We start from the raw sequence: 23130 nt of genomic DNA on the forward strand, positions 1-23130 counted from the left end.
GCAGCATCATTCACAATAACCAAGATATGGAAACAACCTAATTGTACATGTGATACATATACAAATGGAATGCTATTCAGCCTTAAAAATAAGGAAATCCTGCCATTTGTGACAACATGTATATACCTGGAGGAAATTATGCTAAATAAAATAAACTAGACAAAGAAAGGCAAATACTGCATGAATTCATCTGTATGTGGAATCCGAAAGAGTCAAACTCGTAGAAGCAGAGAATAGAATGGTGGCTGCTGGGAGGGAGGAGTGAGGAGTTATTGTTGAGCAGGTATAAAGTTTTACTCACAAATGATGAATAAGTCCTAGAGATCTGCTGTGCATCATAGCACCTATAGATAACAACACAGTATTTACACTTAAAAATGTATTAAGAGAGTAGTTCCCATGTTAAGTGTTCTTAACACAATAGTAAAAAAAATAGGCAACAATGTCTAGTTCAGGAGTGAATAAATCTGATCCATGACTCGGTTTTGTAAATAAAGTTTTATTGGGACATACAGGATTGCCAAAAGAAGATATGTTCTAAAAATAACTGATGTCTCACCTTGATATTTTCCCCAATTAATACTATCCCCTGACAAACTGGCCTTGGGCTTCAGTTTGTTCCATAGATATGAAAAGTGACCTCATTTATTTATAACGTACTTTCTCAATCTGGGGAAGAAAGGGAAGTAATTGGATTTATAATGATTCATAAGATCATTGGAAGGTTTGCAATTATCTTCTGTTTCTTATTTCAATCAAGGTAAATAAATTGAGTCTAGATAGGTGAATGTCTTTATACTGCTTACTAACCTGGCATTAATGATCTATTGGGAAAGTTAATTTGGGTTGCAAATAATGAGCTTATTTAGCAGGCTTTTTGGTCAACCTGTTTCTTTCATTATTTCATCCTCTGCATTATTTGGGAAACAGTGAATAATTGAGAAATGATGTCAACAATGCATTCACCACGTGGGGCTGGTGAGGCATGATAAGGAAGGAGGGTGAACAATGTCCAAGCCATCAGGACCCTGGTCAGACATCTCCTAAGGGGCCCCAGCAAGGCTGTGAAATCATCTCCCTAGCCCCAGAAAAAGATTCTGGCACCAACAGCACTTGAGCTGAAGAATCAAAAGGTGTCGATTCCAATACAATAAAAGGAGCCAACTTGGAAATCTTGACAGGTAATGAGATACTCACCTCCGCCAAGGTGAACAGATGGCCTCCTTCAGAGGACACAGCACAATTGTCACCAAAAACAGAGCCTCAGACTGTGTGAAAAGAAAGTGGCTCTCCAACCCTGGTTCCCTGGGAAAACAGGATGGCTCATGTTTGAGATGAGAGGAAGGGAGGGGAAACATGAGAAAGAGAGATTGTTTGCAGAAATGGATAGCTGGGGAGATAACCCTCTCTTTGGTCTAGGTTTTCTAAGAAGTGGTGTCATTGTGTATTCACTGCTGAAATGAAAAGACCGTCACACCTGGCAGAAATACAGGGATTTGGGGATTTAAAGAAAGAACATCAGAATAATGTGTGTTTGTTTTGTTCCTAACATATGAAGTATCCAAATCCTTTCTGGGTCTTGACACATAAAATTAGTTACATATGTATTTTTTCCCTATCAAATGACTACAAATATAATTAAATCTACATTTTGTTTTAATCCTCTTCAGAATCGGACTTTATCCCAACAGATTGCTTTGAAAAAAACACTATTGAATAGACGAGTCATGGGATCTTGGATAAAACAGTGATAAAAGGATCTAAAATTTCCACACAGGAGGATTCCAGACTCAGGAGTACCTGAGACTTGACATCTTCATCTTTTTTTTTTTTTTTTTTTTTTTTTGAGATGGTGTCTCACTTTGTTGCCCAGGCTGGAGTGCACTGGTTCAATCTCGGCTCACTGCAGCCTCTGCCTCCCGGGTTCAAGTGATTCTCATGCCTCAACCTCCTGAGTAACTGGGATTATACATGCATGCCACCATGCCTGGCTAATTTTTAGTATTTTTTTCTTTTTTTTTTTTGAGCCGGAGTCTCGCTCTGTCGCCCAGGCTGGAGTGCAGTGGCGCGATCTCTGCTCACTGCAAGCTCCGCCTCCCGGGTTCACGCCATTCTCCTGCTTCAGCCTCCCGAGTAGCTGGGATTACAGGCGCCCGCCACCGCGCCCGGCTAATTTTTTGTATTTTTAGTAGAGACGGGGTTTCATCGTGTTAGCCAGAATGGTCTCGATCTCCTGACCTCGTGATCCACCCGCCTCGGCCTCCCAACGTGCTGGGATTACAGACGTGAGCCACCGCGCCCGGCCTATTTTTAGTATTTTTAATAGATACAGGGTTTCACTATGTTGGCCAGGCTTGTCACAAACTCCTGACCTCAAGTGATCCACCCGCCTTGGCCTCCCAAAGTCTTGGGCGTGAGCCACTGCACCTGGCCAACAACTTCATCCTTTTTGAGGGCTCCTCTTGCTGCTCCTCTTAGGAAGCCAGGCTGGTCATATTTCACCAATGAGTGCCATGCACTGTATTCGTGCCTGCAAATTCAGGAGTGGTGGCTGAATGTGGCCCATCCTAATGTATTTAGGATGGTAACTGCTACAGTGTGGTAAGACACTCTACCCCAGGGTCCTTGTTGAGGGATTTCTCCTAAGCAAACATCATATTTCCAGTTTTTCCTCTCCTCATACTCCTTGGGGAGGGGAATGGGGGTGGTAGGCTGAATTACTTAATTGGTAAATTTGGGAAGAATCACCTGGGGTTGGTTAGCTTTGACCTCTGCTTTCCTCTTAGGAGCTGGCTGCCCCTAGAGAGCATGGACTCTCTTCTGCTGCTCATGCTGCAGCACTTGCTTGGCCAAGCTGCTCTGCTGTGCTGCAGGGAATAGATGGGTCAATCTGCCACTGAATCCTGAAGCTCAGAATGTGAGCTTGGCTCATCCTTGAAGCTACATCCTTCAGGATGGCCTCAATAGTTAATGAAGGTGATAACTGAACATTAAAAAAAACACACATTATTTCCCAAACTATTTTAACACAGGCAAGGAGGAAAATATATTTATTTATTTTTTAAATTAATAAACCTCTTTTTTAAAAACCCCAGCAGTAATCAACAGTAATGTAAGTACTATCTGAAGGAAAACTCAAGGGGGAAGAGCTTATATTTTTAGAGACCCTGCTACATACCTGGTACTCAGTATCCATACGCTATCTCAACTAGCCCTCACTATGTCCTATAAAGTAGGTTAGGAAAGCAAGGACATGTACCACTGGCTGACATGACTGATCCCAATTACCAAGGGGAAGACGGGTTGCTGCTCCACAATGGAGAGTCAGGGCTGTGTCTAGTGCCCTGGGGATTCCCTAATGCTCCTCTCTGTATTTCCATGTCTAATAGTTGAGGATGCAGACCCTTCAAAAATGAGAGTGTGGCTCACTCTACAAGATAAAAAACAAAACAGAACAAAAACCAAACAAGCAAACAACAACAACAACGATACACACACACACACACAAAAAAACACACTGAGTAGCTGAGGTCCTGGCTGAGAGCAAAGGAAACTTGGAAAGGCTGATGGAAAAAAAAAGTTGTCAATACCCACTGTAACTTTGTGACCAGTTACAGAAACAAAGGCTTTAGAAACTAGGCATGTTTTATTCCTTGCTTGTGCGCATGTGTTCATGAGAAAGTGTATACTCACACACACACGCATATCTCTGCACACACATTTATATATACATATAGAGACATATTGGCATATGTAACCTCATATTACATCTCTCTCCTCTTCCACCTCATTATTTTATACACATTTTATTGGAGATTAAATTTGTCATTTTAGTTATTTAACCAAATTAATTGGATGCTAACACAATGGACTCTTTAGGCAAGAAATATTCAGATGAGGCCAGGATTGCATTATTTCCCTAGCTTTTCTCTCTGGACCCTACTCACCTAGAAGTTCTTCCCAACTGGAATACACTCCCCATCAAGTCTTTGCACTGCATTCTCAATAGTGCCTATGAAGATCAGGTACTCAAGGAATTTTGGCCAGAAGTAAGGAAAGGAGAAAGAAAGGGAGAAAAAGAAGGAAGAGGGAAAGGGAGAAGAAAGAAAAAAACAGTTTATAGACAGAAAATAACAATAGAATATAAATTTTGTAATGTTGTTTGAATGCACAGGATACTATAGACCTATCAACATAAAGAGAAAATGTCAGTTTATCTCTAACATGACATTCATAAATTCTGAGAAGTTACCACCACCTCATTATGTCTTTCTTTTGCTCCCCTTATTTTCACTTTTCTTTTTATTTTATTGTATATATTTAAGTTCTACAAAACATGATGTTTTGATGTACATAAATAGAGTGAAATTATTATAACCAAGAAAGTTAACGTATCCGTCGTTACACATAATGTGTGTGTGTTTGTGTTAAAAAGAGAAATCTACTGTTTTAGCAAATTTCCAGTGTACAATAGGATATTATTAACTATAGTCTTCATGCGATACCTTAGATCTCTAGGCTTCTTTCTCCTCATAACTGCAACTTTGTATTCCTTGTACTATCTCTCCACAGCCCATCTCTCACCCTTGGTAATCACCTTTCTACTCTGCTCTCAACTTTTGTTTACATTCCAGATAAATGAGATCATGCAGTATCTTTCTTTCTGTCTGGTTTATTCCACTTAGCATAATGTCCTCCAGTTTCATTTATGTCCCCCCAAATGATAGGATCTTCTTTTATATTTAAGGCTGAATAACACTTCATTGTATTTTTTGCATATTATCTCTCTCATTCTCTTGAGAGTAATTGGACCTTTTCATTCCCTTCTTCGAATTTCAAACTGTCTTTCACATTGTCTCTTCTTTTTGTCTAGGCACCCCAGGATATCACCTACTGCACTCCAAGTAGTTTTCTTCTATTTATTTGCCAGTTTCTACATTCGTCTCTGTTAAATTGGCTGTTTAAACCATCACTCAAAATCGGTTTTGGTTATTATTTCAATGATTGCATTTTTCATTTTTGTTTCTATTTAGTTATTTTAATGTATACATTAGTGTTCTCTTTCAGCAATGTTTGTATTTCATAGGTTATCCAATAGTTCTACTCTCTAAAGTTTGGGGAATTTAATTCTGTCGAAGTTTTTGCTGGGTCTGCACTTTGTCTCCTTGACTGGAATATAAGTTCCTCTGAGGAATTTTTTTTTTTTTTAATTTTTTCTTCTTTGCTGTTATCCTAGTGCCAAGATCAATGCCTGGCACAGAATTGGTCTTGATAAGCATTTGTTGAAATGCTAAAAATTGGACTATTTCTTGGTGGATTTTGTACTTTTGTGATGTGAACCCACATTCAGCTGGATATTACATGTGGTCTCTTGAGTGGCCTTGGTAAGGATATGCATTGAATTTGCCGTTGCCAGACACCCCAGAGTATCACCAGCCTGGGACCACATTTTGGTCTAATTTATTAGCTGAAGGAGCTAGTATAAATTTAATTCTCAAACATCCACAAGAGCAGAGTTATAGCAAAAAATCTCAGGTGAGATTTTTTTCTTCTATATACAGTCCTGGCCAAAATAAAAGATAGACAAGGATGTTTTTAAGTCAATTTTAAGTGTGAGGACAGATATGATGTCAATTAATTGTGGCAAAGCCATTTGAGGGTCTTGGCTTTATGTTTGAGTCCCAGCCCCAATGTCTTTCTTTGCTGAGACTTCAAAACAACTTCTCAACTCTTCTTTCCTCTCTGTCCCATCAGAGAGCTGAGCCCCACACCTGCAACCCTGTTTTTTAATTCTTTATTTTTTGTCTGTGGTTTACTTTCTTAAGGGCTCAGCTATATGTTTAAAGACTGCTTGTTAAGATCTGCTCAGTATTTCTGAATGATATTACTAAGTGGGATGTCAGTTTCATGCATTATATTCCTAGACATATAGTGTTCTTTGCTCAAGTCTTTTTCATTAGAAGTTATTATTGTACTTAAAATTTATTTTTATCAAAGTTATACATAGTAGGCTTTTAAAGAAAAGAGAATTCCCATGCTCTCATACCTCCCTATTCTCAATTACTATTCTCCAAAGGCAATACTTTAATCTATTTTAGCTGTTTCTTCTGGCATTTATCTCCATAGTTCTAAGCACAAGTATTTTTGCTGTGATGGCAAATATATTACCAAAAAGGCTGAGAGTTCCAGAAGTTGAGGGCTAAAAATAACAGATTTATGAGCAAACTAGGGTTGAGGGCAGACCACTCAAAACTTTGAAATGTGGAGCATCAACTACATATCAAACGTAATAAAATGAGTCACACAAATAAATCTCCAGTGTCATTTTCATCCAGCAACACAGTGCTTGGATCCTGTGCAGCCTACCACACTGGAGCTCTTATTCTCTTCTTCAAAATGTTAATACTTGGGGGCATCTGCTTCTAATAGAGACCAGTTTCATCAAAATTAAAAATCTTTCTCAAGGGGTAGACTTCATCATCAATCTTTTCCTAATACAGAGAGAAATGACCTTGTACGTTCTTCATCAACATCTCCTCAGCTTCCCCCTACACCTTCAGTTAATGGAAATTGTAGTAATTATTAAAGGCACTAAAATGTCACAATTTTTCCTGAAGGAAGGCACTTCAATAAAAGTTTTCATCTTTTTCTTTCTTAAGATCTTTGCATATTGCTAACGCTTTCCTCTTAAATTTTAAGAAAGTTTACCTTTGATAAATTCCAAATAACTACTGAAAAAAACTCTCCCATGGACCAACAGAATCTCTGCATATATGAGTGAAAAACACATACAAAGCAATTCTTATTCCAGAGACACATGTTGCAGGAGAACAGACTGGCCATGATTTGCTTTATGGCCTTTGATATTATCTATTGATATGCTACAGAGGGAGATGAAATACCATGTCCCTTCTTATCCTAAACATAGACCTCCACCAACTCCATCTCTTTCATCAGCTCAACATAGTTTTAGCAGCTGTTTCACATAAAACAGTATTCAGCACTTACAGTCTTTAGCTTATGCAAACTTCATTACATTTTCTTTCCATATAGTTCACTTTTCTAAGCCCAAATTGTTTTGTTCCTTATATGCTTTTTTGAGAGAAAACAAATGAACTATTAATTTAACACCCAACATTATGACAGACCGTACAATGTTTTTCGGGTATAATCAAATTCGGTAACATTTAGTGTAGCTTATCGCAATAGGAAGTAACCTGCGAGACTACTGTTTGCTTGTCGGTTTTGGTTTTGTTTCTTGTGAGATATTCCCCATTGCACTCTCAGCCACTCTGCCACAGTCTGAGCGGTTGCCACCCAGACCTGCTGCACTGCCATTTTGGGGGGATCCCCCCTCACTGCTGGGATCCCCTTCACCTGTCCTCTGTGTGGCTATCTTATTTGGGGGAATTTGTCTTTTTTGGTTTATTATCTCCAATGGATTCACTTTTTAAAATCCTGGGAGCTTAAATATTTGAGAACTTTAAAAATGCCTTCTACTATCACACTCAAAAGATAGGTTAGCTGGTTATAGAATTCCATTTCTGTCAGAATTTTAAAGTCATTGTACTATTGTTTCTAATATTGCTTTGGAGGAGTCTGATGCCATTCTGATTCCTAATTCTCTCTGTGTGTCTTCTACATTCTTTCTGAAAACTTTTAAGACATTGTCTAAATCTATTTTCTGAAATTTCACAATGATGTGCCTTCTTATAGATTTTCTTCCTTTTTGCAGGGAGAGAGGATGTGGTAAGCTGTTTTAAATATTAAAGTATATACCATTTAATTTTAGGTGTTTTCTGATTTTCTCCTTAGAAAACTTCTTCCTTCTATTTTTCTCTGCTTCTTCTTCCCAGAACTTATGCTAATCAGTTGTAGAAGCTCTTGAAACCATCTAAATTTCTAAACTTTTCTTCACCATTTTTCATCTTATTATCTTTTTGCTATGCTTTTAGGCAATTTTCTTTAACCTTATTTCTTAGCCAGTTTATTGAAAATTTTAATTGCTGCTATTAACATTTCAGTTTCCTATATAATTTTTTCTTTGAATGTTCATATTTTTACAGCTTCCTGATCTTGTTTCATATGCAGTATCTTATTTTATCTAAGAATCCAAATGATAGATTTTTATGCTGCTTACATGTTTCTGCTTTCATCAAATTCATTTTTTTAAAACTGTGTTTCTTATTATGACATCGTTCTTTGATCTTAGAGTCTTCCTTCAAATGTCTGTTGACTCTTATTCTTGTTTAAAGTGAAGAGTTCAAAATTTTGATGGAAAGCTCTTCATGCCCGTGCCTACTGTTGACTGGAACACTGCAGCCAATTAATCAGGCAACATTACCATTTCACTACTGGCCTTCCAAGTGGTAACATCCATAGAAATTTATCTTCTCTCGGTCTATTTCTTCAAGCAACAATCGTCTAATGTTCTGCCACAGTGGTAGGAGCCTGACTGTAAGTGTTCTCTGAGATGAGCAAGGTCAGGAGCCTGAGCATCTCTTTTCTTTTTCCGTTGACTTCCTCCTAATCCCCTTATTTCCATCCGGACCTCCCTCCTGCTCTCAGCTGTACGTAATGGCACCTTCTCCAAAGAGAAAGTCTTCTGTCAGTTGCCTCACTACACTTGTCGGCAGGTGAACTGGGGCATGCAATTGCTCCTTGTGTAGTCTTTTAAACAGTCTTCCTACTTTATCCCCAAGAAAAGTCCCATCATTTAAGGCACATGGAGCCTCCAGTTTATGAAACATTTCATTTGGAGTTTAGCTTGTTTCCTGTTGCGTCTCTCCTTGCTTCTCCCCCGACATCAGTTCCACTGTGTTGGCTCTCAGTCTTCTCAGCTTTGCCAAGTCAGCTGCCACCAACCCATGTGAGTTGCCACTTCCAAAATTTTGTTGATATCCCTCAACTGCTGCTTCTATTGTGTGCTCTTTTAATTTGGGGTTTACATTCCTCTGCCATCACTTATTCCAGCTTCTGGGGAGAGTAAGCAGGCTTTTACATGTTGAATTCATCTTGTTGAGCTTGAAGTCTTGGTTTGCATCTTGAATGATGATCATTAAGAAATCAGAAACAAGAGTAAATACTCCATTTTGTACCCATCCATCTGATCTGACACTCTAGGACTACTCTTCTGTCTCCATCAAATTTCTTTTGACGATATTTGATCTCCTTTGTTGGTGTAACACCCAGGTTTTACAAATATATACAACACCCTTCTACTCACAGACATCATTACAAGTAGCACCTTCTCTGGGCATGTCCTAGCATTGTGGAGAGGAAGCAGTGCCTACAGAACGCTGATCATTTCTTTCTATTTTTTGCCCTCTTGCTAATATTTTCTTTATTTTTCTTGACTTTATTATTATTTTTTTTAGCCAAAAAATGTCACCTGGTCAACTTTAGCATGAGTTTTCTCCCTACCCAACCTACAATGAGTAGCCAGTATGGCAATTTTGTGCCAATTATACAGAAGCACTACTTCCTCAAGTCATGTTATTCCATTCTGCCTATAAACTACATTACAACTCTACACATCAACAATGACTACCAGGTAAACGAAGCCACAGAGGTTGTGCAATACATAATTTGTACTGTAAGCAGCAACCCTGACCCTACTCAACTTAACAGCTCTTATTATAAGACTTCATAAATAGAGTGTGGCTTTTCTATCTTCCAGTTTCCTTCTACTGAGGAGCTTAGGACAAGAGCACATTGGAGCAGATTTTCTATTTGTTTCTGCTGATTACAGCCTGGGATTCGGCATAAGTACAAAGCACCTCATTTACTTTTATCTTAATAGCAGGTTGGCATTTAGCTCATGAGGGCCAGGTTAATGCCTTTAGAAGTCTTAACACTGTAATATGATGTATCCACCTTTCTCATGGGTAATTTAAATAATAATCATATTAAATTGTAAAGTAAGTATAAGAAAGTCCAGAAAAGTCCTCCTTTATATTGTGAACACTGCTTTTTTTTTTCTTTTTAAAGGAAAGAGTGCCCTGCCCCTACCCCTTCTTTCCATCCTGAATAAATACTACTGGTGACCTCCTGAAGTACTCAAGGTCAGCTTATACCTTTGGTTTCAATCTTTTCCCCAAAGGGACTCTGTTCTTTCTTCCAATTTCCAGGTCATCATCCTATATAGGTGAAATGATCAGATTTGTTTTTCCTAGTATTATTATAGCTCAGATTTGCAGAGTGAATGCTCTTATTTTTTTCTCCAACTTTGCATCAGTCACCAAGGCCTAGAAGGAATTTTATGCTCCTTGGATATAAATATTTTTACTTGTATCTTATAGTTATTTTAATATCATTTTTTACTTTTCTAACATTTATTAAGTGTCTAAAATATACTAGGTTCCACATAGGCTGCTTATACTTATTATATTATTTAATCTTCAAAATTATCCCTCAAAAGAGAGACGAAAGAACTGAGGTTTCCTCTAAGGTATGTAAGATCAGTCAAATACCTTTCACAATATTCATGGGGCTAGTAAGTAGTATTCTTGAAACCTGGTCTGTCCTCTTCCATGACATTAAAATGGGACCTTGTTAAACTTTTAGATCACTCATTTACAAAATGAGAAGCATGAATGAGATTATAATAAAGATTGATGATAATATCATCAGTAACAAGAAGGTGGTATTTATTGACTCTGTCTATCTGTCTATCTATCTATCTATTCATCTATCTATCTATGAGACAAGGTCCTGTTCTATCATCCAAGCTGGAGTGTAGTGGTGATCATAAATCACTGTAGCTTCAGACTCCTGTGCTCAAGCAATCTTCCTCCTTCAGCCACCTGGATAGCTAGGACTACAGGTGCGGGCCACCACACCCAGCTAATTTTCATCTTTTTTGTAGAGATAGGGTCTCACTATATTGTCCAGCTTGGTCTCAAACTCCTGGCCTCAAGTAATCCTCCTGCCACAGCCTCCCAAATTGCTGGGATTACAGGCATGAGACACCCTGCCCAGCAGACACTATGTATTTGTTACACATTCCCTCTAACTTTCCCAAGAATACTTCATGGAAAGCAATAATATCCCTATTTTACAGAAGAGTAGGCAAAGTTCATTTTTGAGTCCTCTTCTATATCCATAGCCTCCTAATTTATTTTAATAAGCCTTAAAATGAATACTGTAGAATAGTATGAAATATATAGACTACTATAAAACAATCAAATGTAAATTCTACAGATAGTACAGATGGAGAGAGGTTTATGATGGCCATGAAGGCTTTGGTAAGAGGAAGATATTTAGAAATGGGAAGAAACAGTTGGGACTTGAATGCATAAGCATGTATTTTATGAGGCATAAAGACAAGATTTCTTAACACCGAGGTCTATGTAGAGTTAATTAATGTATACTCAGAGGAAAGGGCCCTCAAAAATTAATAGAATATTAAAATTATCTCACTATTGAGCTATGTTCTTCAAGCTAGTATCTCTCCATTTTCAGGTTTGCTTCGAAGGAATTCAGTGCATAAAATTTTAAATGCCAAATTCTTTCTAGAAACTTTGTACTAGTTCTGTATGCATGTCTATCTTGTGATCCATTTCACGATTAGTCTAGTAGTTAATGATAGCATCTGAAAGTGCTGATATGAAACATGAAATTTCTTTTTGTAACACCTCATCAGGTGTTTAGGACAAGTCTACAGGGAAGAAATTAATTATCTCTGCAGCTCGTGACACTTATAAAAAAGAAACACTTCAGGAAGAGTATTTAATTCCTTCTCTTGGTAATTTATGGGAGACCCTTAAAGACCTCTGAATCAACTGAGTTGGATGAAAGAAAACTCTTCTGTATATATATATATATATATATTTTTTTTTTAGTACACCATTCTGCAAGTTCTCCCATGAATCGATTTTTATGGAATGTAGCCTTTGATAGTGTATTACCCATCACTCTCAACACACATACATGCACGCGCACCTTTTTAGAGCTTTGTTAGCAGTCTTAAGAAATTATCAAAATAAAATGCAATTAACAGGGCAAAGCATATCATAAGCATACTAGGTTTAGCATGCATGGATTCTGTAATTATCCATTCTTCTCAAATTTCCCAAATTAGGATGTAGAATTAGTCTAAATTAACAGCTAAATAGGGAAAGCCACTTGTTGGATCATGGCATAGTACCATCTCTGGGTATCTAAGAATCTATGGTGCATTCTTAGGTGGGTGTGGTCTCCTTGTTTTAATTTAAAATCTTCAACATGTTTTCTTCAGATTAAATAAAAAATATCCCCTGTGTCTTATATTAGTCATGGTTCTTTAGAGGGAGAGAACTAATAGGATATATGTATATAAGAAAGGGAGTTTATTAAGGAGAAATTGACTCACATGATCACAAGGTAAAGTGCCGTGATAGGCCATCTGCAAATTGAGGAGGAAGGAAGCCAGTGTTGGATCAGTCTGAGTCCCACAACCTCAAAAGTAGGGAAGCTGACAGTGCAGCCTTCAGTCTGTGGCCAAAGGCCCGAGAGCCCCTGGCAAATTGCCGGTGTAAGTCCAAGAGTTCACAAGGTGAAAAACCTGGAGTCTGATGTTCAAGGGCAAGAAGCACCCAGCACAGGGTGGAAGGCTGGAAGACTAAGCAAGTCTGCTCTCCCGTCTTCTCCTGCCTGCTTTGTTTTAGTCCCACTGGCAGCTGATTAGATGGTGCTTACCCAGATTGAGGGTGCGTCTGCCCTTCCCAGTTCACTGACTCAAAGGTTAGTCTCCTTTGGCAACACCCTCACAGACACATCCAGGAACAACACTTTGCTTCCTTCAATCCAATCAAGTTGACAGTCAATATTAACCATCACATGTCTGTTTTGCATAAAACTTTATTTTCTTCCTCTTTGATATGCTTTTATTTTCTGCTTTTTGATGATTTTTTTTTTACCATTAGTAACTGAAGACCCACTTCTACCTTTCAGAGACTTTGTAATCATGCACCCATCTATTGCCTCCGATAGTACCTGAGTGATCTTGATTTCCTATGAATGCCAAGGCATAGAGCTGTCCTCCCATAGGATAAATGCCCTCCCTCTCTCATTCCTTTGGAACAAAAAAGCACCCTGTGTTAGCTTACTGTGGCTGTGATAATAAAATGCTAAAAACTGGGTGTCTTAAAAAGTAGAAATTTATCTTCTCACAGTTCTGGAGGCCAGAAGTCCAAGATCAAGGTGTCAGCAGGCTTACTTTCTTTTGAGTCTTCTGGCCTTGGTTTGCAGATGGCTGCCTTCTCCCTGTGTCCCTCCCTGGCCATCTTCTCCTTGTGTCCCTCTTGTAGATGGCCATCTTCTCCCTGTGCCTATATGTGTCAATGTCCTAATCTCCTCTTTGTATTAGGACATCAGTCTTATTGAATTAGGACCCTACCCACACAACCTCCTTTTACCCTAGTTACCTCTTTAAAGGCACTATCTCCAAATGCAGTCAGATTATGAGGACCTGGAAGTTAGAATTTCGACACATAAATTTTGAGAGAAAACAACTTAGCCTATAATACTGTGGTAATGCTATGGTCTTGAAAATTCACAAGGTACAGTTATATAATAGAGGCTCTTATCAATTTGGTAACAAATATTTAACTATTTTTCTTTAATTTTTTTATCTTTAGTAAACTTCTGTGGCTTTTTCCTGCAACATTCTTTAAAATTTCTTGGGGAAAATGTTACAAGGAACACACTTTGAGAAATCCTGCCATCCTGTCCAGACATGCTGGACTAAGGTCAGTTAGACACATAGTATGTTCATTCTGACTCTGTGTTGGAGAGTTGGGTTCACAAAGTTTTGGAACAACCAAAATTCAAAGATGTCATCTTTGAAAAGAAAAGTAGAATTGGGCACATCACCAAATGAAATCTCAGAAAAATGGTTATCAAACCCAATGTGCATTTGTACTCTTGTGTTGTCTCAGACATTTCTCTTTTTCATAGTCTTATTTCATCTGCCAGCAAATTCTGAACATGACCAATGTTTTACCATTGCCTTTGTTCCCATTCTGTTCCACACCATTCTAACCAGTATTTCTACTTTGGTACTTGCACCTCTTCAGTCTGTTTTCATGCAAGCAACCAGAGAGTGCTTGCAAGTGTCATTCAGATGCCATCACACTCCACTGCACACTTATTTTACAAATCCATTTCTCACCTGTAGTAGAAGCCAAAGTTCTTGCAATGGTTCTGGTAGTCGTATGCTCTCTGACCACCATGACCTTTCTGGGCTCAGGCTCTACCTGTTCCTCCACTCCAGCCGGCTGGGCTCCTCTCTGCCTCTTGAACATCAGACACGCTGTCACTCCTGGGCTTTTGCACATGCACTTTCTATACCAGGAATATTGTTCTTTTCACATACACATGCACTTGCTTCCTCACATCCTACAGGGTTTTTTTGAATGTCACCTTCCCAATGAGGCCTTCTGTGACAACCCCTTGAAAAGCAGAACCCTTCAGCATGCCCGATTTGCCTTTCCTGAATTATTTTTCTCAATCTACGTTTCAAGAGGGCATGCATGTTTTATTCATTCATGTCTTTCTGTTACCTAAAACATTCACCAGCATATAGTTGAAGCTCAATAACTCCTTTTTTTGAGTGAACTGATTAACTTTGTTTGAATTGCAAATGTTCCCATTCTATTATGCTGCATATCATCTACTGATTCATTCATTCATTTGCAACAAAGGAGTGTCTATTATGTATCTGATGCTCTGGTTCTATAATGGTGAAGGAAACAAACATAATTGTGAATGGAATTTACTTGTCAATTGAAATACATAAGTCATTTTTAGTTGTTTTGTTTTTGTAAATTTTTGGTTCTCACCCTAACAACACTAAAAATCTTGTTTTATATAAAATTACAGCCAATATTGTTAGGGTGTAACTTCTTTGCTATGCAATTTGTTGAGGATCTTATATGCATTTTTTTATTTAATCCCTCAAAACCTATGACATATGTAACATTAGGATCACCATTTAACAGATGAAAAGGCAGACACCTCAAAACAGTAATTTCTCCCATAGTGTCTTATAACTCTTAAGTGGTAGAGCTCAGATTTTAATTCACATAAACTGTATCCACAAATCAGAATTCTTTTTTTGCCTTCCCTTTACTTGTAGTCTGGATATTTTTGAAAAAATATACTAATATCCACTGCTCTCAAACATTGAATCAGAAATATCTTTTTGAGCTCTTACTATTCTCCTATACAAACAAGAGGGACAGGCCATTGACCTCCTGGGCTTTGTATTATGGTGAAAGCATCAGATAGTTAAACTTAAAAAAAAAAAAACAGAAACAATACATAAGTAAACAGATGAATGAACGAATATATAAGAAGCTAAAACACAGCAACATGATAGGGAATAATCCAGTGGCCTCTTCAGATTTGATGGTCTGGAGAGCACCTCTGGGAAAATGACATTTAATTTGACACCTGAAGACCAAAAAGAGCATGCCATGTGATTTCAGAAAAGACTTTGCAAGCAAAAAGATTAGCTAATACAAAGATCCTTATGTTGAAATACATTTGACCTACTTGAAAGGCAGGGGATGGCCAGTAGAGCTGGAAGGGTGTAGCTAGCAATGAGCAGTAAGGAATAATGGTGTAAAGGTGGGCAAGGACCCCGTGACACAGACCTTTGTAAGGATAAACAAGGAGTTTGGATTTTGTTCAGCATCAGTAATGGATTTTGCAGAAGAGTGGAAGCAAGAGAGCAACTTGGAGACCACTGCAATAATCCATTAGGGAACGAAACGTGGCTCAGTTCAGAATGGAGGCAGTGGAGATAGAGCTAAGTCAAGGACATGCTTTGGAAGTCAATCTATAGGACTTGCTGAAAGAAGGCAAGTTGGGGGTGAGGGAAAGGGGGTATGCTCAAGAGTAGCTTTGAGGTTTTGGCTCTCAGCGTGGCTGACAATGTCATTCCTGTGATGCAGAAGACTGGGGTAGGCAAAGGATCGGGACATGGTAAAAAGAGATAACGAGTTCCGTTTGGGGCTTGGTAGGTTTGAGGTATGCACTAACCAGCTGTGTAGAATATATTTTATTTGACCCTCCCACTGATTCTCCTGTCTTTTCCATCAGGCTTGTTATCCTGGGAGACTGACCATGGTATCATGGACCTCCATGCTCTGTCTCTTCCAGTTGGTTTTATCCAATAGAAAGTGCCAGAATATTAGACAATGGAACGTGAGTGAAAGCAGGACATAGATCACCCAGGCTCCTTGCTTGTGTGGCCTGCAAGGGTTAACTGCATTCCTCTTCTGAAGGCCACAGCTCCCAGCTGATGATTCTTTCCTCTGTTTCTTTCTACATATACTGTAGCCACTTCTGTTCTCCTCTTGCCTTTTCGGGTCTCATGGTCTAAGTGCTCCCCTTATTGCTAGTTCAGGGTTTTGTCTTGTCCCTTGTTGGTTTTCCTGAACTCCACCTAACCTTTGGAAGTATAGTCCTTTTAGTTTAAAACATGGTCACGTATGCAGAATTTAAATTGTGGATTGACATGTGCCATCTCTTTGCTACTGTGCCCCCAAGTAATACAAGAATGAACTGGAAAAGCCAAGCATGCTCAGGAGTTACAGTGAGGGGTGAAGACTGGAGTTCAGGGTTTGAAGGTCATTCATTTATAAATGATGCTGCAAGTCATGACATTGGGTTAGCTCACCCAGGATAAATTTTCTGCACCCTTAAGATCTACTCTCAGCAGAGCTCACTGCTTTTTAGCTAGAGGTGCAATGAGCACACTGGCTTGCTATCTCTTCCATTTCCCCCTGGGCTTCCTCTAACAAAGGCAGTGACAAGCTATTAACAGGGCTCCCCTTCCAAACTTCCATTTCAAGTCAAGTTTTACCAAAGTCATTATCTCTTTAATTTGCTCCCTGGGATGCTTGCTCACAAATAAGTAGCACCCGCAAGTGGGATGGAGCCTGCTTTCATCTGCTTTCTATTTTAAAATGTATTTTTTTCTTCTTGAGGATGATAGTTATATTGACAAATCTTCCATATGGGATAAAGTGTGTGCATCAGATTCATCAAGGATTCCATTAAAGCTCTGCCAGTGAGGTCAGTTACCCAGCAAAGCATGATAATGGATTTGGTTTCAATAGACCAAGTATTCAAATTCAGGTGAAAGCTGGCAGACAGGCAATTAATATTTTACACAGAGGTGTTTTGGTTATTAATAACACACTGAACATAAAAGGCAACTAAAAATCCCCAACATTCCATTGCAAAGGGAACGGCTGAAAGCCAATTTCCGAAGGGTGAAAGTAGCTTCTGGGGGCTCCGGATTAATTACATGCGATCTATCTCTCTAATTACCACGGGAAGTGGTAGCTTCTATTATTTAATTGAAGTTGTTGTTGCTTAATTTTTTTTTTTATTTTCTAAGGAACAATTAATAGCATGAGAAGAGGCAAGCATTAGCTTTGTGGAGCTTTATTTGGGCTTCCTAGAACCCAATCCTATGCAGTTTTCTAGGCAAAATTTATAACTTGCCTCCTCCACGACGGGTACCTGAATTCTTGTAGCAGGTACAAGAATCTTTTATCTGAGTTTCTGTAGAACCTATTAGAACCATACCATCAGGTTAAGAATTTTCAACATGTTGTCACCTCCTTGGAATTCTAGGTTCCTTGGACCCACTGTTTAAAATCGTTAATGTAGAACTTGGTTGAATTCTAAATTGGAAATCTTGATTTTGTATTCCAAAGACTACCTCTGAATGCATCTTTCTTTTTCTTTTCTTTTTTTTTTTTTTTTTTTTTTTTTTTTGTGAGACGGAGTCTCGCTCTGTTGCACAGGCCGGACTGCAGTGACACTGTCTCCGCTCACTGCAAGCTCCACCTCCCGGGTTCACGCCATTCTCCTGCCTCAGCCTCTGGAGTAGCTGAGACTACAGGCGTCCACCACCATGCCCGGCTAATTTTTTGTATTTTTAGTAGAGACGGGGTTTCACCATGCTAGCCAGGATTGTCTCGATCTCCTGACCTCGTGATCCACCCGCCTCGGCCTCCCAAAGTGCTGGGATTACAGGGGTGAGCCACCGCGCCCAGCCCGCATTGTTCTTTTTTGACAGTTGCAGAAAACCCTTTATTATGGTTTTTATAATCCCCAAATTACCTCCCTTCTGATACCTAGGAAAACTAGACTTCTGAAAGGTCAGACACTGACAGAAATTTCAGAGATTTTCCAATCCAAATCCCACACTTTCCTGACGTGAAAACAGAAGCAAAGGACAACAAACAAAAAATAATCAGCCCAGATTTATTAAGCTTAGTAACAGAGCCTGTATTTTGGAATCAAAATCTCCTCATTAGGAAACTGAGTTTCATTTTCCTACCTAAGGAATGTTTGTCCATTGATAAAATAGTGATTGACAAAGTTTAGATTGGTGCTTCTCAAACGTCAGTATTCACATAGCTCTCAGAGGGATCGTGTTAAAATGCAGATTCTGATTTGGTGCGCCCCAGTGAAGCCTGAGATTCTGCTTTTTAACAAGCTCCTAGATGACGCTGATGCTACCAGTCCACAAACCACTCTTTGAAAAGCAAAGATTTTTAAAAGGCTCAATGCAGATTAGAATAATATGACGCCTATAGGGGGCAACTGTTCATTTTGTACTACTTTCCAGAATTATTTCCTTCATCTTCTGACACTAGCATCTAAGTTTTATCGACCCAGCCCTTCCTTCTCTCCCGCAAACTGTTAATCTAAGGTCCTCAAGTCCATCCAATGCTTTCCTACCTCCCAGCTCCAGGAATACGCTAGTGGTGGAAGAGTCATCTTGGGATCAGGTGTTTGCTTGTAGGCCACGGGTGGGCTTTTAGTTCACGTGTGGGCTTGTAGGCACACCTGGCAAATGAGTACATTCTACACCCTTGGGCTTATTGATTATTTTTTCAATGGGCATATGATGCAACCCATGTAGATCAGAGACATTACAAAGTGTGTTAGTGTTATTGAGGAACACACAATGATTTTTCTCTGGACTCATTGAGAGCCACAGTAGCCATAACATTGTTTAAAAATGTGTGCCCAGAAAAGAATTCAGTACCTAGGCATGTAGGTCTAGAGAGGGAGAAAGGGTTTGCATTCTGATGACACCATTGAACGCCTGCATCCAGGTGACCATTGAACACCTGCATCCAGGTGACCATTGAGTGCCTGCATCCAGGTGACCATAAAGTGCCTGCATCCAGGTGACCATAGAATGCCTGCATCCAGGTGACCATTGAGTGCCTGCATCCAGGTGACCATTGAATGCCTGCATCCAATTGACTATTGAGTGCCTGCATCCAGGTGACCATTGAATGCCTGCATCCAATTGACTATTGAGTGCCTGCATCCAGGTGACCATTGAATGCCTGCATCCAATTGACTATGAGTGCCTGCATCCAGGTGACCATTGAATGCCTGCATCCAAATGACTATTGAGTGCCTGCATCCAGGTGACCATTGAACACCTGCATCCAGGTGACCATTGAGTGCCTGCATCCAGCTGGCCATTGAATCCCTGCATCCAGGTGGCCATTGAATGCCTGCATCCAGATGACCATAGAATGCCTGCATCCAGGTGACCATAGAGTGCCTGCATCCAGGTGACCATAGAATGCTTGCATCCAGGTGACCATTGAGTGCCTGCATCCAGGTGACCATAAAGTGCCTGCATCCAGGTGACCATAGAATGCCTGCATCCAGGTGACCATTGAGTGCCTGCATCCAGGTGACCATTGAATGCCTGCATCCAATTGACTATTGAGTGCCTGCATCCAGGTGACCATTGAATGCCTGCATCCAATTGACTATTGAATGCCTGCATCCAGGTGACCATTGAATGCCTGCATCCAATTGACTATTGAGTGCCTGCATCCAGGTGACCATTGAACACCTGCATCCAGGTGACCATTGAGTGCCTGCATCCAGGTGGCCATTGAATGCCTGCATCCAGGTGGCCATTGAATGCCTGCATCCAGATGACCATAGAATGACTGCATCCAGGTGACCATTGAGTGCCTGCATCCAGGTGACCATAGAGTGCCTGCATCCAGGTGACCATAGAGTGCCTGCATCCAGGTGACCATTGAACGCCTGCATCCAGGTGACCATTGAGTGCCTGCATCCAGGTGACCATTGAATGCCTGTATCCAGGTGGCCATTGAATGACTGCATCCAGGTGGCCATAGAATGCCTGCATCCAGGTGACCATTGAATGCCTGCATCCAGGTGACCATTGAGTGCCTGCATCCAGGTGACCATTGAATATCTGAATGCAGTTGTACCTGATGCTAGCTTAACCTCCTCGACCTTTCTGTTTTATGAGCCAATAACTTCCCAATTTTTTCTTGAATTGAACTTCTGCCATTTGTAACCAGAAGAATCTTGTTTAATATAGTTTCTGTCAGGAAGGATTAGGAAAGGTAACTTAAAAAAAGTCAAACAGTCGAACAGTTTAGAGAAATGGAAATTTGTTAACAAGCTACTCTGAAACCTCTGAACTCCTAGAAACTGAAGATTCTCAGGCGTCCCAGAAAACTTCACTGAGCCCCAGCTACTTACACAGGCAGAGGCAATCAAAGGCTTTGAGCTCTCTCATTCCTGAGCTCCCTGCCTGTCCATCCTGAAAGGAGTTCCAGAGAGAGTTTCTCCTACCCATGGTCCTACATAGAGGGTGCATTGCCTTTAATTCCTGTACATTCTTTTTACATCATAAACCCTTCATAGGACAGGACCATGTCATCAGGCATACTTGGGTTCGAAGCCTGCCCTTGCCTCTTGCCATCTGCATGACCTTAACAGTCAACTTCACATCCCAGAGCCTCCCATGTCATATCAGCAGGACAAGGACAGGAAATCTGTCCTTGCCCGGCTACTGAGCAGATTAAATGAGATGCTCTGAGTGGAGTTGGAGTTGATTATATATCAGTCTCTTTCTCTTATTCTTCTCATTTCATTATCCAGGCATTTGTCTTTCTCCCCCACTTTTTTTTTCTGATATGCCCATTCTGATTGGGAACTCCCTTTAACTTTTTTGGGAACCTTTTGCTGGCTCCAGTATCTCTACTGCCAACCAGAGACCCACACATCCCCCATTTCTCTCCATTGATCATTTCCTTGCAAAAATACCAGGGTCCCTACACTCAGAGGGCTTAGTTATAAGTTTAAACAACTCAAGGTTAATGCTGAGGGTGAATCAAAAGTATGCATATTATGAGGCTATAAAAATACGTTTTTCAAAAGGACGCTGTAATAATATTAGCTGGTAATTCCTCTTTGGAGTCAGCTAAAATCTCTGCCTAGAATTTGAGTGGCTGCTGGCAGCTGGAGCCCCTCCCAATGCATCCACGCTTGCTAGCCCATCAACATGGAAGACATCGAGAAGGTTGTGGGAAAACACTTAGCATTTCTTGGGAAAATGAGGGAACATACTGATAACCTTTAGCCAACATGCATAGGGCAGTGTGGCCACTCTCCATTCTTCAATCGACTTCACTGTCTGGCTGGTCTCTCAACATTGTACCACTAAGGACAACGAGGAGTTGAAACCTAGAGAAATGAGCCCCATAGGAGCTTCACTTGCTCCTTTCTGTTTCTTTGTTTTGTTTTGGAAATATGACACACCAAGAAGCAGTGTGTGTGCTTAAGGAGCAGTGGCTTGCTGAACATCCTGTACAGTGACGCTTCACAGTTCAGAACCTCTTTTTCAGAAATGCATCTTAAGTCCAATTCAATGCAAAAACCCTAAAAGTGTAATCTCATCTGCTCACCAGGGTTGCCTCTAAAGTAAAATGCCTTATCCATGGTGAGAGATGCTCCCAGAGAGATATTTTAGGATGAGGAGAAAACCAGAGGAGCAGCAAGAAGGAACACATGAAGACAGACGGGGATGGACGAGGAGCACAAAGACTATGTTCCAATCCTGGTTCAGTTAATAGTAAAATGCTTTTCTAGTTGGTCTCTGTTTCACTCTTGCTTCTCCATTGTTCACATACATTTACTCTTATAAAATGGAAATTTGATCCTGCAGTTTCCCTGCTTAAAACCCTCAAATGATTTCCCCTTATATTGGTGTCAAACCCCAACTCTTTGTGGCTTCCTGCATTCTGGACTCAATGTTTTCATCTACTTTTTGAATACAGCAGCCTTATTTCACCATAGATCTTTGCACTTGCTTCATGAAATGCATTTTCCCTAGAACTCTGCATGATCACCTGTTTCTCCACATTCAGGTCCTCATGTTATTATTACTTCTTTCAAAATGGTTTCTCTGACCTCCCTACATAACACAATGCAGCCCCCACCCATTCTCTGTTACATCTTTCTGTTGTATTTTGTGCCAGGTAGCGTTTGACAGAAATGATCTCGTTTATTCATTCTTTCCTTCTTTTCATTCTGTCTTTCTTTTCATTGTGCCTCCCATGAAATAGTTAATAAATATCTATGAATGGCCGAATTAGTCGTGTGGCTTCATATAAACTACTTAATCTCTCTAGTTCTCAGTGTCTACATTTATAAATTCAAGACATTCTAAAAGGAAGTCCTTCAATATATGAACTCTCTACCCTTTGGGCTTGAATTTAAGATTTGAGATTGTGATAGATAAAATTCTTCAACAATGAGACAAGGGATTAGCCCTTGAGTGGCTAAAAATCTGGTGACATTAACCCAACTAAGAAAAAATTAGTTAAAATATTGATAACTCTAATTAAGTCCATAGTTACATGCTGCCAGTGTATTCACATGATAAAGAAGGCAAATGTCATTCTAAACAAGTGGATGTCTAGCAAACTTCATGGAACAGAACATACTGGAACTGAGCCTTGGAGGATGAGCCAGATATGGACAAACATTCCACATTATTAATGTACTTTTAGATCCCATTCTTCTCTGGACTTGGGGTGCTAGCACATGGTGTTATGGCAAAGCATGGAGTCCAGCTGAATTGCCAGTTTTGTGACCTTTAGTTAGTGGTTTATCTACTTGAACCTGTGTCTTCTTCTCAGAATGGGATTAATGGTATCAACTACAAAGTGTTGGAGAACTTGATTAAATTGTATTACACAACACATTTCATGATGCCTGTGAGCATGTGAAACAGTGACTCATCCTATTAGGCTCTCCTCAAATATT

The 23130-nt window shown here is 39.8% G+C and overlaps 1 long non-coding RNA gene across 1 annotated transcript; it reads left to right on the top strand.

Annotated features, from left to right (window-relative positions):
- The first annotated feature begins 849 nt into the window (after positions 1–849).
- LOC105374488 (uncharacterized) lies at positions 850–22273 on the top strand. Its single transcript, XR_925402.2, has 3 exons — positions 850–1181; positions 13620–13730; positions 21771–22273. It is a non-coding gene; the product is annotated as an uncharacterized LOC105374488 (long non-coding RNA).
- The last annotated feature ends 857 nt before the right edge of the window (positions 22274–23130 follow it).

The sequence above is a fragment of the Homo sapiens genome, chromosome 4, assembly GCF_000001405.40.
Source record: "Homo sapiens chromosome 4, GRCh38.p14 Primary Assembly".
In the NCBI taxonomy this organism is placed as follows: Eukaryota; Metazoa; Chordata; class Mammalia; order Primates; family Hominidae; genus Homo; species Homo sapiens.